The sequence below is a fragment of the Homo sapiens genome, chromosome 4 (genome assembly GCF_000001405.40).
Source record: "Homo sapiens chromosome 4, GRCh38.p14 Primary Assembly".
Taxonomy (NCBI): Eukaryota; Metazoa; Chordata; class Mammalia; order Primates; family Hominidae; genus Homo; species Homo sapiens.
The window spans coordinates 64,848,477-64,865,278 of NC_000004.12; the positions used below are offsets into that span (position 1 = coordinate 64,848,477).

Consider the following 16,802-nt stretch of genomic DNA (forward strand, 5'->3'; position numbering starts at 1 on the left):
CTCTGAAGGATGGGTGACTGTCGGTTCAGGGAATGGGGCTGAAGGGGGTGTCGAGGTGAGCATTACTGGGCCACGTGTCTCTCAATATCCAGAAAACTAGCCCAAGGGTTGTTCACGTGCAGATGGTTACAGGGTTTTCAAGGGCATCAAGAAAAGATGAGCCTCATACACAAGGTTTTATTCAAGTCTCTATTTGTGTCATGCTTGCTAATACGCCTTTAGCCAAACAAGTCACTGGAAGGCACTTCAAGTTGCACGGCCAGGGGACCTAGTTACAGGGAGGATGTATTGGTTTGCTAGGGCCACTATAACAAAGTACCACAGACTAAACGGCTTAAACCAGCGGTCCCCAAATTTTGGGCTCCAGGGTCTGGTTTCATGGAAGATGATTTTTCCATGAACAGGTGGGGGTGGTGTGTGGTGGGGAGGCGGGGCGGATGGTTTGGGTTTGGGGATGAAACTGCTCTTCCTCAGATTATCAGGCATTAGATTCTCACAAGGAGCACACAACCTAGATAACTTGCATGCGCAATTCACAATAAGGTTCATGCTCCTATGACAATCTAATGTCACTGCTGATTTGACAGGAGGTGGAGCTCAGGTGGTAATGTTTGCTGGCCCTCTGCTCACCTCCTGCTGTGCAGCCCAGTTTGTAAAAGGCCACAGACCAGTACTGGGGACCCCTGGATTAAACAGCATAAATTTATTTCCTCACAGTTCTGGATTCCAGAAATCCAAAATCAAGGTGTCAGCATGTTACTGTACCAAGTAGCTTAGCTTCAATATGCATTTTGAAATTGTTTTTCTTTTCTCATTTTAGCCTTGAAGTATAATTTGATACTCTTAGTTTCCCTCCCTTCCCGTCAGGTACTGTCTTGCACTGTGCTCGCTCATCTAATTATGTGGTTGCTTAGAAATTCCAGGGGCTAATCTGGAAATAAATCAGGCATGGAGACCCACATGTGGAATTCTCCCCAATCTAAATGTTATTTCAAGGTGGCTAATCTACCACCTGGCCATTGTGGAGATAGTGCCAGCCTGCAATTCAAGATAGTCATGGGAACAAGACATGCAGACCTGTACCCTGCCCCACTCCTGCATGTTTCCCACACCAAGTTTCCCTTCTTAAATCCCCTCACTCAGCCTAAAATTTGAGATGGTTTCTTGGAGGCCTTAGCCCAGCCATCTCCTCAACTGCTGACATTTGATAAATAAAGCTGCTTTCCACTTATCTCTTTTATATTCAGCCAGACTTGAGTTCAGTTACAAGCAGGGCTGGTTTCTTCTGAAAGCCTTTCACCTTGGCCTGTAGATGGCTGTTTTCTTCCAGTGTGCTGGCATTGTATTCCTTTTGTTTGTGTCTGTGTTCTTATAAGGACACAAGTCATCTTCGCTTAGAACCCAAACAAATGACTGCATTTTACCTTATTCACTTTTATAAAGGCCTTTTCTCCAAATATAGTCACATTCTGAGGTCCTAACGACTAGAACTTTAACTTATTATATTTGGGGATAGACAATTAAACCCATAACAGAAGGGAAGAACCTGTGGGGGATTTTCATTTTATTTTTTGCCTACCTTACATTCCTTACTCAGTAATTGATCCAGGAAAACACAATTGTGTAGCAGGCTACTGCTATGGGTATTCCAAACTTCTGACGTACAAAGCTCTCTTTAATCTATCTTTAATATCAGAACATTTTTAATGTTAGAGATTCAATTTTAGGTTAAGGCAGGGATTTCCAACCTCAGCACAACAGATATTTTCACCAAATAATTCTTTGTTGTGTGGGCTTTCCTATGCAATATAGCATGTTTGCCAGATCCCTGGTTCCAACTTGCTAGATACCAATAGTGCTCCTCACCTGTTATGACAAAAATGTCTTCAGACATTGACATATGTTCACAGGGCGACAAAAATTAGAATTTCTAGGTTAAGAGATAAATTCTAAGTAGGAGAAAAGGCATTTCTTAAATTGACATTTAAGTTAAGAGGAAGGAGTAAGACATGAACTTTTAGCATCTGCTACTATGTCTTTCTAAAAATAAATTTATGAGATTTTTATATTTTCCACCTTGGAGTGCAGAATCCTATAGGCATGAGGCTAAGTACATACACACTATGAACCAGACAGAAGGCACTCTCCAACATTTAGGTAAGAGTACAACAAGGAAATTATCTTAGGCAACTGCCTCCTAAAGACAAATTAGCTTGAATCTCTTTAGAATTTTCATTTTTGCTTCCTCAGGAAAACAATACTATTGATAAAATATTAAACTCTGAAATACTTTTTGAAAAGTAAGCAAATAAAAATATTTTTAAAAATCATAAGTATTTGACAAGTATAAATTAGCTAGCCTTCTCTTAAAGAAAAATACTTTCATATAACACAAAAAATAAAACCTACTAATATGTGACTCACAATCATACATATATATCTGTGCTGCATAGTGGATGAGCAAAAATATATCATGCAAATAGAAACAAATATAAAGCAGGCAACACTAATTTCAGGCATAGTCAGTTTTAAAATAAAAATGAGGTGATTATATGACAAAGCAATGTAACATAAAAATTAATATTAAAAATCAAAACAGACTTCCATAAACATTTTTATAGAAAATTACATGTCATTATATGCAAATTAATACATATAGAATATAACAAAATTGTGCTCTGGACTATTTTCTAATCACCAGAAGTCAACATAGACAAGGTAGTCAAAAATTTATCAAATATAGAATGTTTCCTTGTATAAATGATATGATTGAATTATGTTGTATTTATGTAAACCAAGATCTGTTTATAGGTACCTGAAAGATAAAATGTTGCATCCTAAAATTAATGGACCTTTTTAAATGCTTACACTATATTATAAATGTATCCTATACTAGACAAAAATGAACAAGTACTTTGTCTCTGACGAGGGTTTAAAAGATTTATAAACTCATTACTAAAAATGTATTTTAAAAATATTTAGTGTAATATCAGTCTCCTGAAGACTAAAAAGAAATCTGGGAAAATTATCAGCTAATTACAGAATTAATGGCCCTGAAATGAGGAACACATTTTACTTCTGTTATTGCCAACTCTCAGGCTATAAAATGTGTCAGTTTTCACTTCCATTGTCAATACATATAAGAGAATCTTTGTCCTGAATCCATTGTATTCAATTGGCACCATATATGTGAATCTTTTCTTGATTTTTAAATTCTTTTTGTGTACATTTGGCTGTAACTTCAGTAAAAAATAATTATCCATTTTATTATATTTGTAATAACAAAGTATTTCAAAATATTAACAATGATATTATCTTCCATCCTTACAGTCTTCAGATGCCCTCACTTGAGCACAAAAAGATTCTCCAACCCTATTTTCTAGACTAAATTGCCAGACATAACTTATCCACTGTTTTGGGGGAAAAGACAATTATGAAATAGGAAAAGGGAAAGTATTTCCTGATAATAACAATTTAAAAGATGGGCACGTAAGTATTGGATTTAAAGATTTGTACGCATAATAGATTAACACTTTTTCCACTCTACTCTAGGAGAGTAAGAAATGAAGGACCACACATCAGGAGCAGAATAGGCTCAAGAGAACACAAGACTCCTCAAAATCAATGCAGTCTTTTGCCAGCACCAGAAAATTCCCTAAAACCAGAGGCATTATTCATTGTCTTTGTAGATTAAGGTCCAGCAATCAACAGCAGCCAGTGTGTTACCTGGTCATTAGCTTTTTTTGGTGTCACAGTTTGGATAGATAATCCAAGACAATTGCAAGCATCTGAGAATTAAAGGTTAGGACCTATAAACCTAGAGAGATTTTGAGTGTTTGGAAGGGCTCCTGCATCTGACCAAGATTGAATAGATGGAATATCGCTAGTAAAAACAGTGAAACACATTTTCCCTATTATGTATGTTAGTCTCTGTGTGTACATCTAATACAAGTAAATTTATAGTGGACTACTGTGTTTCTTATCTAAAGACATATCATTGAGTTCACTAATGTCATATGTCTACAGACTAAGGATTTTATAGTAAGATCTCTAATATTTGGGCACTAATGATAAGTTAATAAAAGTTGGTATTTAATTGAAGTCTGAGAATAAGTCTTAATTCTTGGCCAAGGAATTGGTCAGCACTATAAACTAAATTTATGTCTTCCACAAAATTATTATTTTGAAGTCTTAATCCCCAATGTGATGATATTTGTAGGTGAGGCCTTTAGGAGGTAATTAAGTTTGTATGAGATCATGAGGGTTGTATCCCCCTGAAGGGATTAACGCCCTTATAAGCAATCCAATTACTGGGTAGATACCCAAGGGGTCATAAATCATTCTACTATAAAGACATATGCACATGTATGTTTATTGCAGCACTGTTCACAATAGCAAAGACTTAGAACCAACCCAAATGCCCATCAATGATAGACTGGATAAAGAAAATGTGGCACAAATACACGATGGAATACTATGCAGCCATAAAAAAGGATGAGTTCATGTCATTTGCAGGGACATGGATGAAGCTGGAAACCATCATTCTCAGCAAACTAACAGAGGAATAGAAAACCAAACACCACATGCTCTCACTCATAAGTAGGAGCGGAACAATGAGTACACATGGACACAGGGAGGGGGACATCACATACCGGGGCCTGTCATGGGGTAGGGAGCTAGGGGAGGGACAGCATTTGGAGAAATACCTAATGTGGATGGCAGGTTGATGGGTGCAGCAACCACCGTGGCACACATATACCTATGTAACAAACCTGCACGTTCTGCACATGTATCCCAGAACTTAAAATATAATTAGAAAAAAAAAATAAAAAGAGGAAGAGAGAGGAGGTCTTTTTCTCTATTTCTGAGCAAGGATGGACATGTGAGGACATACCCTGGAAGGCGACCCTCACCAAGAACCTGCCTATGCTGACTCTCTGATCGCGACTTTCAGGGTCCAGAACTGTGAAAAACAGATTTCTCTTGTTTAAGCCACGCTGTTCATAATATTCTGTTATAGTAGCCCACCTCACCATAAGTATGTAAATTACCAGCTTCTGCACCACCACAGGGATTTACTGTGAAGCTGAAAGTAATTGAAATATAAAGTGCCTAGAATACTGCCTAACACATACTAGTAGGAATTACTGCTACTATTACCAATTCTAATTAGCTGTAAAGTAATATATTTAAAATGCAATGGTGTTAAATATCATTTAATAATGCTATGATTTGTAGGAAGGTTATATTGAAGTAAAGAATAAGAAAATAATAGTGGCATACATATGAAAACCCTAAATTAGAGCAAAAATAAGAAGAGAAAAATGAAATAGTTTCCATTCCAGGTAACAGTCTGAGCTATCTGAAATTGAGATTTCTTACAGAATTCCGCTGGATATTTAGGGGTACACAGAGCCATCCTTGGCTCCTATGGACGTTAAGTGTGTTCACTTATCTGTCATTGAAAGAAAACTGAGAGTACTGCTCTCACCTCTAGTGAAAAGAGAAACTGGGGAAAAGCCCTCCTTATACAATGCAACACCTTTCAGAAATTTGACTTTAGTCGGTTCAAGGTAAATTTGTGGCATGATCATTTAAGTCTTCATATTCCTTTTTATAAAATTTACTTTCAAACTTTAGCCCCTTTTTTCTACATGTTGGCAAAATCTAAGGATTTCAGGCTCACAGAACCTTTGTTTTTAACTTTCTGATAGTGTTTTACTCCACAAAATATACTAAAAAACTAATGCCCTGATATAAACAATATTTAAAATTCACAAGAAAAAGATGAGTACCTCAGAGTTTTGGCAAGGATTATGAATGTGTATAACACAAAATAATTACAAATATATTTGCGTGATATATAATTATTTTTTGTAACTAAAAAAATACACAATTTTTTTAAAAAAGGCATCACATGTTTTCATCTATCAAATTGGCAAAATCAAAGATTAAATGATGCCATTTATTCAGGTTCCAAGCATATAAAAACAAGTTCACACAAGGAAGATGAGATTTTATTTTGATATAATAATTTGCAATTTTTAGCAAAAAACATGTTTGATACTATTTACATTTTTAGAATATATTCAATAAATATGATTATGAATTTAAAAATTTATAAGTAATGTTATTTGTGACATTGTATTTATAGAGAGAAAAGTAATAAGAGATTAAATAAATTACCCCCAAAAAGGGCAGATGAAATAATTAATGTGATATCCATAAAGTGGAGTGGTATGAAGCATTAAAAAGAATATATATCTTAGTCCATTTGGGCTTCTATAACAAAATACCATAAACTGGGTGGCTTATTTACAACAAACATTAATTTCTCACTGCTCTGGAGGCCAGAAATCTAAGATCAAGGTGCTGGCAGATTCAGTGTCTGGAAAAGCCCCACTTTTTTTTACAAGTTCCTGCCTAACATGGTGGAAGGGGCAAGGGGTCTCTCTCAGACCTCTTTTATAAGACCACTAATCCCACTCATGTGGACTCTACCCTAATGACCTAATCTCCTCCCACAGTCTCCATCTCCTAATACCATCATCTTGGGAGTTAAGATTTCAATATATAAATTTAGGGAAGACTAAAACAGTGAATCCGTAGCAATAAAGTATAATTATTTATATTGACATGGGCATATCTAAAATATATTTTTAAGTGAAAAAGGAATTTTTAGTACAAAAGTCCTGATTACATTCATATAGTGGTTATCATAAGATAATATAGCTGGTGGTAGGAGTTTGGATTATGAATGGCTTTTTCTTTCTTTTTTTTTTTTTTTTTCTGAGATGGAGTCTCACTCTGTTGCCCAGGCTGGAGGGCAATGGTGCAATCTCAGCTCACTTCAACCTCTGCCTCCCGGGTTCAAGCAATTCTCCTGCCTCAGCCTCCTGAGTAGCTGGGACTACAGGTGCGCACCACCACGCCCGGCTAATTTTTGTATTTTTAGTAGAGACAGGGTTTCACCATGCTGGTCAGGCTGGTTTCGAACCCCTGACCTTGTGATCTGCCCACCTTGGCCTCCCAAAGTGCTGGGATTACAGGTGTGATATATATTTTTCTTCATTTTTAAAATAATTATTGATATGGTTTGGCTGTGTCCTCACTGAAATCTCATCTTGAATTGTAATCCCCATAAGCCTCATGTGTCATGGAAGGGACTTGGTCAGGGGTAATTGAATCATGGGGGTGGTTTTCCCCATACTCATCTTGTGATAGTGAGTGAGTTCTCATGAGACCTGATGGTTTTGTAAGCATCTGGCATTTCCCCTGCTTGCACTCATTCTCTCTCCTGCTGCCCTGTGAAGAGGTGCCTTCTGCCATGATTGTAAGTTTCCCGAGGCCTCCCCAGCCATGTGGAACTGTGAGTCAATTAAACCTCTTTTCTTTATAAATTACCTAGTCTCAGGTATTTCCTCATAGCAGCATAAGAACAGAATAATACAGTTAGCAAAACATGTATTATAACACTTTGTAAATTAATGATTCTATTAGTTTTAACAAATAAATCATTAGGTATTCAATACTCCACAAATGCTGTATCATGCATCAAGGCACTTGACTAACAGTTCTAATCTTAGAAATGTATCATTGGCAATATAATAAAGATACTGTAGAAATTATATTTGACACCAAAAAATCCACTTTTAGTTTTAAGTAATAGCATGAAAGATTAGACAAAACACAAGGAATTCTAAAGATCTGATTTTGAAATATTAATTTTCTCACTTCCACACACTGTATTTAAGTTTTAAATTCCTGATTGATTAAATGAGGCGCTTAATCAAGAGCTTGAAGATTGCTTCCAGCTCATTATATAATTTTTTTTAAACCTTCGATTTTCTTATCTTGCAACTTTTCTACTACATTTTATACTTTTTTCAACAGGTAAAAATGTGTAAGAAATTATAACTTCACAATTATATTTGAGTCTAAATAATGTTGCAAAGCTCTGATTCTCAATATCCCTATAAGGAAATGCTGCTGAAAAATCTTACCCAGGGCATAACTAAAGGATTGTTTCAGATATTTTAATGACAGCTGAGCATCGAATGCCATCTTTTTCATGGAAGATAATTGTGTTAGAAAAATAGAGGTAAAATGTTGATAATAATTGAAGACATTAAGAAAGTCCTTACATGTGTAATGTTAGATGATGTGAACCAGTTCAAGAGAATGTCAGCTTTATGGATTTCGCTGCATCTCTCACAAAAATAACCATTTTTAAAATGATCTTATTGAATCTAATTTTTTATTCCTAGCTTTGATTAAAGCTGTATTTATAGATAATCACCTCAAACATTTAAGCATCTATACATAAAATATTTTATTAAATTAAGTGTCAGAGGGTTCTAAGAGACACAATTTAGGAATTTTATGTTAACTAAATTAGGACAGGGAGAGAGAGGTAAGTTTTAAATAAGATATCTTAAGTTGGTCTCATATAGAACTTCAGTTCACCACTCCTTTTTAAAGGAGTGAAAAACTCAAATAATATATATAGCATTGCATTTCTTAAGTAACTACATACACACATAAATATATCACTATCAAAAAACATTTCTGTCACCTGAGGGAGTTTCGAATTTTCTATGTCTCTTCCTAGTCTCTTTCCCCAAACCTCTACTAACCATAGTTAATTTTGTCTGAGGATTTTATATAAGTGAAATTATACAGTAAGTGTAAAGTTTTTGAGATCTATTCTTGATGTACTTTATCTGTAATTTGTTGCTTTTACTTGGACATATATATGTGTATATATGGATGTCTGTCTATATATATATGTATAAGTAAAAACTTTAGAAATTTTAGAAAGAAAGCTTTTAGAAATAGAGCTACTATGATCACTCTCGAACCAGGTAGTCTTTCTTTGTTCATATGCTTTCTTTTCTCTTAAGAAAGTATTAAGGAGTGGAATTGCTGAGTCATAGCAAAAAAAATGTATGTTTAACATTTTAAGTAGCTTCTAAATCATTTTTCAAAGTGATTGTGTCATTTCACACTCCCCTCATCAGTATATGAGAGTTTTCACTTAATTTCCAGCATTTAAGATTGTCAGTCTTTCATTTTAATCATCTTCTTTTGATGCTTCTTTTTGTCTCTGTTCTCTAATTAATGAAAAACATTGGGATCACATCAAGAGATATAAAAAAAATTATGCCTTTCCAAGGATTAACCTTTGTGAAATTTCAGTGTGTCTTGTTTTCTCACTATAAATCAACAGGTCTGCTGCACGAGAGTCAGAACATCACTACAAAATGAAAAACCTGCACCAGGAGAGAAGCGAGAAGGCACTGCTAAGGGACACTCGATTTACTCAAGATGGAATAAGTACAAAGTTACGTAGTCAGGAGAACTAGTACGAAAAAGGAATCAGGTCTGTGTCAGAGTAAAAATTGCATCTAGCAAATTTAAACAGGCAAAAAAGAGTTATTCAAGGCCAATGCAATAGAAGAGAGAGGCCAGACCTATGCCTGAGCACAGCTCCAGTGAAACAAAGGTCTGAAGAATTTTTAAAAGCCCAAGTGGGGGATCATAGGCCACCTGTGTTTGCTAATTTGCTTCACGCAAAGGTAAGGTAGGTTTTCTCTTACCTTAATGACAGGAGGTAGTTTTACACCTTTTGCAGGGGAAGTTAGTCTCCTCACTTCCCAGGGAAAAAGAGATAGGGGCATTATCTTCCCCGATGTTCCTGTTTCAAAGAGATGGCTCCCGGGTTCTTGAGAAAAACATTCTTGGGTTGTAAAACTGCAAGATGCTTTTTAAAAAACTTACATTTCAGAGGGGCAGAGAAAGAATGTACAATTACAAGTTTTCTAATGTAAATGCTCTAAGACAAGGGAGGTCAGGAGTCTAGTCAGCAAGAATCCTATTTAAAGTTTAGAGAAGTTGAAAGCAACTTTAAGGCTGTCTTGGTCAACTGCTATATAAAAACAAAAGTGAAATAAATTCATAATGGTAATTGGACCAACAAGTCTCCTGGAGGCCTTTTGTCTAATTTTTTTTCCCCCAGTAACAGGTTAGAGCCTCCTGCAAAGTGCAGTCCAGTCTTAAATGAAAAGAAAGTATTTACTCAAAGTGACCACATATATGCTTTTTATTTTTTTTTAATTATAGGATGGTAAAAATAGGAAGGCAAATGAAAGGAATAAGTGAATGGAAACCCATAAAGTGAAGCTTTCATTCTATTTGAAACTAGGAAATGAGGTTTTTTTGGTCAAGGTGATTTCAAAGGCCAGGATTCTAAGATAGGGATTGTGTAGTCTAAATCATAGTCTTAACAGAGTTAGGTTTGTGGAAAATATTCATATAATATCCTAGAAGATTTTTAATATTTCATGTTATTGGGCCTCCGGACTTGTTGAATCAATAGGTGGGGTAAGAAAATTATATTTTTAGTAGCTCCAAGTTTATAACACGTGAGAACTCATGTTCTAAACTTTGTAGATTGGGGAACTATTGTAAGAAAAGAAATTTAAGAGATTTGCATGGGGTTTTGTGATTATTATATAGTTCTAAAAAATAGCAACTAAGAAAAATATAAATACTGACCCTTGAAAGTTGTTAATTAAAATTAAGAAGTAAAGCTAGTGGGCTCTTTTAGTTAAAAGCAATTATTTCCCTCAAATACACTTATTTCTTTTTTATTTATTTATTTATTTATTTTTTTAAATTATACTTTAAGTTTTAGGGTACATGTGCACATTGTGCAGGTTAGTTACATATGTATACATAAGCCATGCTGGTGCGCTGCACCCACTAACTCGTCATCTAGCATTAGGTATATCTCCCAATGCTATCCCTCCCCCCTCCCCCCACCCCACCACAGTCACCAGAGTGTGATATTCCCCTTCCTGTGTCCATGTGATCTCATTGTTCAATTCCCACCTATGAGTGAGAATATGCGGTGTTTGGTTTTTTGTTCTTGCGATAGTTTACTGAGAATGATGATTTCCAATTTCATCCATGTCCCTACAAAGGACATGAACTCATCATTTTTTATGGCTGCATAGTATTCCATGGTGTATATGTGCCACATTTTCTTAATCCAGTCTATCATTGTTAGACATTTGGGTTGGTTCCAAGTCTTTGCTATTGTGAATAATGCCGCAATAAGCATACGTGTGCATGTGTCTTTATAGCAGCATCATTTATAGTCATTTGGGTATATACCCAGTAATGGGATGGCTGGGTCAAATGGTATTTCTAGTTCTAGATCCCTGAGAAATCACCACACTGATTTCCACAATGGTTGAACTAGTTTACAGTCCCACCAACAGTGTAAAAGTGTTCCTATTTCTCCACATCCTCTCCAGCACCTGTTGTTTCCTGACTTTTTAATGATTGCCATTCTAACTGGTGTGAGATGATATCTCATAGTGGTTTTGATTTGCATTTCTCTGATGGCCAGTGATGATGAGCATTTTTTCATGTGTTTTTTGGCTGCATAAATGTCTTCTTTTGAGAAGTGTCTGTTCATATCCCTCGCCCACTTTTTGATGGGGTTGTTTGTTTTTTTCTTGTAAATTTGTTTGAGTTCATTGTAGATTCTGGATATTAGCCCTTTGTCAGATGAGTAGGTTGCAAAAATTTTCTCCCACTTTGTAGGTTGCCTGTTCACTCTGATGGTAGTTTCTTTTGCTGTGCAGAAGCTCTTTAGTTTAATTAGATCCCATTTGTCAATTTTGGCTTTGGTTGCCATTGCTTTTGGTGTTTTGGACATGAAGTCCTTGCCCATTCCTATGTCCTGAATGGTAATGCCTAGGTTTTCTTCTAGGGTTTTTATGGTTTTAGGTCTAACGTTTAAATCTTTAATCCATCTTGAATTGATTTTTGTATAAGGTGTAAGGAAGGGATCCAGTTTCAGCTTTCTACATATGGCTAGCAAGTTTTCCCAGCACCATTTATTAAATAGGCAATCCTTTCCCCATTGCTTGTTTTTCTCAGGTTTGTCAAAGATCAGATAGTTGTAGGTATGCGGTGTTATTTCTGAGGGCTCTGTTCTGTTCCATTGATCTATATCTCTGTTTTGGTACCAGTACCATGCTGTTTTGGTTACTGTAGCCTTGTAGTATAGTTTGAAGTCAGGTAGTGTGATGCCTCCAGCTTTGTTTTTTTGGCTTAGGATTGACTTGGCGATGCGGGCTCTTTTTTGGTTCCATATGAACTTTAAAGTAGTTTTTTCCAATTCTGTGAAGAAAGTCATTGGTAGCTTGATGGGGATAGCATTGAATCTGTAAATTACCTTGGGCAGTATGGCCATTTTCACGATATTGATTCTTCCTGCCCATGAGCATGGAATGTTCTTCCATTTGTTTGTATCCTCTTTTATTTCCTTGAGCAGTGGTTTGTAGTTCTCCTTGAAGAGGTCCTTCACATCCCTTGTAAGTTGGATTCCTAGGTATTTTATTCTCTTTGAAGCAATTGTGAATGGGAGTTCACTCATGATTTGGCTCTCTGTTTGTCTGTTGTTGGTGTATAGGAATGCTTGTGATTTTTGTACATTGATTTTGTATCCTGAGACTTTGCTGAAGTTGCTTATCAGCTTAAGGAGATTTTGGGCTGAGACGATGGGGTTTTCTAGATAAACAATCATGTCGTCTGCAAACAGGGACAATTTGACTTCCTCTTTTCCTAATTGAATACCCTTTATTTCCTTCTCCTGCCTGATTGCCCTGGCCAGAACTTCCAACACTATGTTGAATAGGAGCGGTGAGAGAGGGTATCCCTGTCTTGTGCCAGTTTTCAAAGGGAATGCTTCCAGTTTTTGCCCATTCAGTCTGATATTGGCTGTGTGTTTGTCATAGATAGCTCTTATTATTTTGAAATACGTCCCATCAATACCTAATTTATTGAGAGTTTTCAGCATGAAGGGTTGTTGAATTTTGTCAAAGGCTTTTTCTGCATCTATTGAGATAATCATGTGGTTTTTGTCTTTGGCTCTGTTTATATGCTGGATTACATTTATTGATTTGCGTATATTGAACCAGCCTTGCACCCCAGGGATGAAGCCCACTTGATCATGGTGGATAAGCTTTTTGATGTGCTGCTGGATTCGGTTTGCCAGTATTTTATTGAGGATTTTTGCATCAATGTTCATCAAGGATATTGGTCTAAAATTCTCTTTTTTGGTTGTGTCTCTGCCCGGCTTTGGTATCAGAATGATGCTGGCCTCATAAAATGAGTTAGGGAGGATTCCCTCTTTTTCTATTGATTGGAATAGTTTCAGAAGGAATGGTACCAGTTCCTCCTTGTACCTCTGGTAGAATTCGGCTGTGAATCCATCTGGTCCTGGACTCTTTTTGGTTGGTAAACTATTGATTATTGCCACAATTTCAGCTCCTGTTATTGGTCGATTCAGAGATTCAACTTCTTCCTGGTTTAGTCTTGGGACAGTGTATGTGTCGAGGAATGTATCCATTTCTTCTAGATTTTCTAGTTTATTTGCGTAGAGGTGTTTGTAGTATTCTCTGATGGTAGTTTGTATTTCTGTGGGATCGGTGGTGATATCCCCTTTATCATTTTTTATTGTGTCTATTTGATTCTTCTCTCTTTTTTTCTTTATTAGTCTTGCTAGCGGTCTATCTATTTTGTTGATCCTTTCAAAAAACCAGCTCCTGGATTCATTGATTTTTTGAAGGGTTTTTTGTGTCTCTATTTCCTTCAGTTCTGCTCTGATGTTAGTTATTTCTTGCCTTCTGCTAGCTTTTGAATGTGTTTGCTCTTGCTTTTCTAGTTCTTTTAATTGTGATGTTAGGGTGTCAATTTTGGATCTTTCCTGCTTTCTCTTGTGGGCATTTAGTGCTATAAATTTCCCTCTACACACTGCTTTGAATGTGTCCCAGAGATTCTGGTATGTTGTGTCTTTGTTCTCGTTGGTTTCAAAGAACATCTTTATTTCTGCCTTCATTTCGTTATGTACCCAGTAGTCATTCAGGAGCAGGTTGTTCAGTTTCCATGTAGTTGAGCGGCTTTGAGTGAGATTCTTAATCCTGAGTTCTAGTTTGATTGCACTGTGGTCTGCGAGATAGTTTGTTATAATTTCTGTTCTTTTACATTTGCTGAGGAGAGCTTTACTTCCAACTATGTGGTCAATTTTGGAATAGGTGTGGTGTGGTGCTGAAAAAAATGTATATTCTGTTGATTTGGGGTGGAGAGTTCTGTAGATGTCTATTAGGTCCGCTTGGTGCAGAGCTGAGTTCAATTCCTGGGTATCCTTGTTGACTTTCTGTCTCGTTGATCTGTCTAATGTTGACAGTGGGGTGTTAAAGTCTCCCATTATTAATGTGTGGGAGTCTAAGTCTCTTTGTAGGTCACTCAGGACTTGCTTTATGAATCTGGGTGCTCCTGTATTGGGTGCATAAATATTTAGGATAGTTAGCTCCTCTTGTTGAATTGATCCCTTTACCATTATGTAATGGCCTTCTTTGTCTCTTTTGATCTTTGTTGGTTTAAAGTCTGTTTTATCAGAGACTAGGATTGCAACCTCTGCCTTTTTTTGTTTTCCATTTGCTTGGTAGATCTTCCTCCATCCTTTTATTTTGAGCCTATGTGTGTCTCTGCACGTGAGATGGGTTTCCTGAATACAGCACACTGATGGGTCTTGACTCTTTATCCAACTTGCCAGTCTGTGTCTTTTAATTGGAGAATTTAGTCCATTTACATTTAAAGTTAATATTGTTATGTGTGAATTTGGTCCTGTCATTATGATGTTAGCTGGTGATTTTGCTCGTTAGTTGATGCAGTTTCTTCCTAGTCTCAATGGTCTTTACATTTTGGCATGATTTTGCAGCGGCTGGTACCGGTTGTTCCTTTCCATGTTTAGTACTTCCTTCAGGAGCTCTTTTAGGGCAGGCCTGGTGGTGACAAAATCTCTCAGCATTTGCTTGTCTGTAAAGTATTTTATTTCTCCTTCACTTATGAAGCTTAGTTTGGCTGGATATGAAATTCTGGGTTGAAAATTATTTTCTTTAAGGATGTTGAATATTGGCCCCCACTCTCTTCTGGCTTGTAGGGTTTCTGCCGAGAGATCCGCTGTTAGTCTGATGGGCTTCCCTTTGAGGGTAACCCGACCTTTCTCTCTGGCTGCCCTTAACATTTTTTCCTTCATTTCAACTTTGGTGAATCTGACAATTATGTGTCTTGGAGTTGCTCTTCCCGAGGAGTATCTTTGTGGTGTTCTCTGTATTTCCTGAATCTGAACATCGGCCTGCCTTGCTAGATTGGGGAAGTTCTCCTGGATAATATCCTGCAGAGTGTTTTCCAACTTGGTTCTATTCTCCGCATCACTTTCAGGTACACCAATCAGACATAGATTTGGTCTTTTCACATAGTCCCATATTTCTTGGAGGCTTTGCTCATTTCTTTTTATTCTTTTTTCTCTAAACCTCCCTTCTCGCTTCATTTCATTCATTTCATCTTCCATCGCTGATACCCTTTCTTCCAGTTGATCGCATCGGCTCCTGAGGTTTCTGCATTCTTCACGTAGTTCTCGAGCCTTGGTTTTCAGCTCCATCAGCTCCTTTAAGCACTTCTCTGTATTGGTTATTCTAGTTATACATTCTTCTAAATTTTTTTCAAAGTTTTCATCTTCTTTGTCTTTGGTTTGAATGTCCTCCCGTAGCTCAGAGTAATTTGATCGTCTGAAGCCTTCCTCTCTCAGCTCATCAAAATCATTCTCCATCCAGCTTTGTTCCGTTGCTGGTGAGGAACTGCGTTCCTTTGGAGGAGGAGAGGCGCTCTGCGTTTTAGAGTTTCCAGTTTTTCTGTTCTGTTTTTTCCCCATCTTTGTGGTTTTATCTACTTTTGGTCTTTGATGATGATGATGTACAGATGGGTTTTTGGTGTGGATGTCCTTTCTGTTTGTTAGTTTTCCTTCTAACAGACAGGACCCTCAGCTGCAGGTCTGTTGGAATACCCTGCCGTGTGAGGTGTCAGTGTGCCCCTTCTGGGGGGTGCCTCCCAGTTAGGCTGCTCGGGGGTCAGGGGTCAGGGACCCACTTGAGGAGGCAGTCTGCCCATTCTCAGATCTCCAGCTGCGTGCTGGGAGAACCACTGTTGTCTTCAAAGCTGTCAGACAGGGACATTTAAGTCTGCAGAGGTTACTGCTGTCTTTTTGTTTGTCTGTGCCCTGCCCCCAGAGGTGGAGCCTACAGAGGCAGGCAGGCCTCCTTGAGCTGTGGTGGGCTCCACCCAGTTTGAGCTTCCAGGCTGCTTTGTTTACCTAATCAAGCCTGGGCAATGGCGGGCGCCCCTCCCCCAGCCTCGCTGCCGCCTTACAGTTTGATCTCAGACTGCTGTGCTAGCAATCAGCGAGATTCCGTGGGCGTAGGACCCTCCGAGCCAGGTGTGGGATATAGTCTCGTGGTGCACCGTTTTTTAAGCCGGTCTGAAAAGCCCAATATTCGGGTGGGAGTGACCCGATTTTCCAGGTGCGTCCGTCACCCCTTTCTTTGACTCGGAAAGGGAGCTCCCTGACCCCTTGCGCTTCCCAGGTGAGGCAATGCCTCGCCCTGCTTCGGCTCGCGCACGGTGCGCGCACCCACTGTCCTGCGCCCACTGTCTGGCACTCCCTAGTGAGATGAACCCGGTACCTCAGATGGAAATGCAGAAATCACCGTCTTCTGCGTCGCTCACGCTGGGAGCTGTAGACCGGAGCTGTTCCTATTCGGCCATCTTGGCTCCTCCCCCCCAAATACACTTATTTCAAGCAAAACAATTATAATAAATATAGGCAGAAATGTCTTTGGAAAGTGTCCTAACTTTAGTGGAATGGTTTTAACAGCTCACTGTTTATA

At 37.8% G+C, this 16,802-nt stretch overlaps 1 long non-coding RNA gene across 2 annotated transcripts in view, besides 1 other annotated feature; it reads left to right on the forward strand.

Annotated features, from left to right (window-relative positions):
* LOC107986284 (uncharacterized) overlaps positions 1 to 16,802 on the forward strand; it is a 116,209-nt gene that overhangs the window by 73,855 nt on the left and 25,552 nt on the right. For both annotated transcript variants that reach the window (XR_001741712.2, XR_001741711.2), the window contains one exon: positions 9,230 to 9,382. This is a non-coding gene — a long non-coding RNA (uncharacterized LOC107986284). The remainder of the gene's footprint in view (positions 1 to 9,229; positions 9,383 to 16,802) is intronic.
* Positions 8,756 to 9,955: an enhancer, noted in NCBI's record as "MED14-independent group 3 enhancer chr4:65722950-65724149 (GRCh37/hg19 assembly coordinates)". NCBI's record gives its function as "activates an origin of replication core promoter dependent on BRD2, BRD4, P300/CBP and CDK7 cofactors, and independent of MED14, by STARR-seq in HCT116 cells {active_cell/tissue: HCT116}" and the evidence as "EXISTENCE:reporter gene assay evidence [ECO:0000049][PMID:35650434]".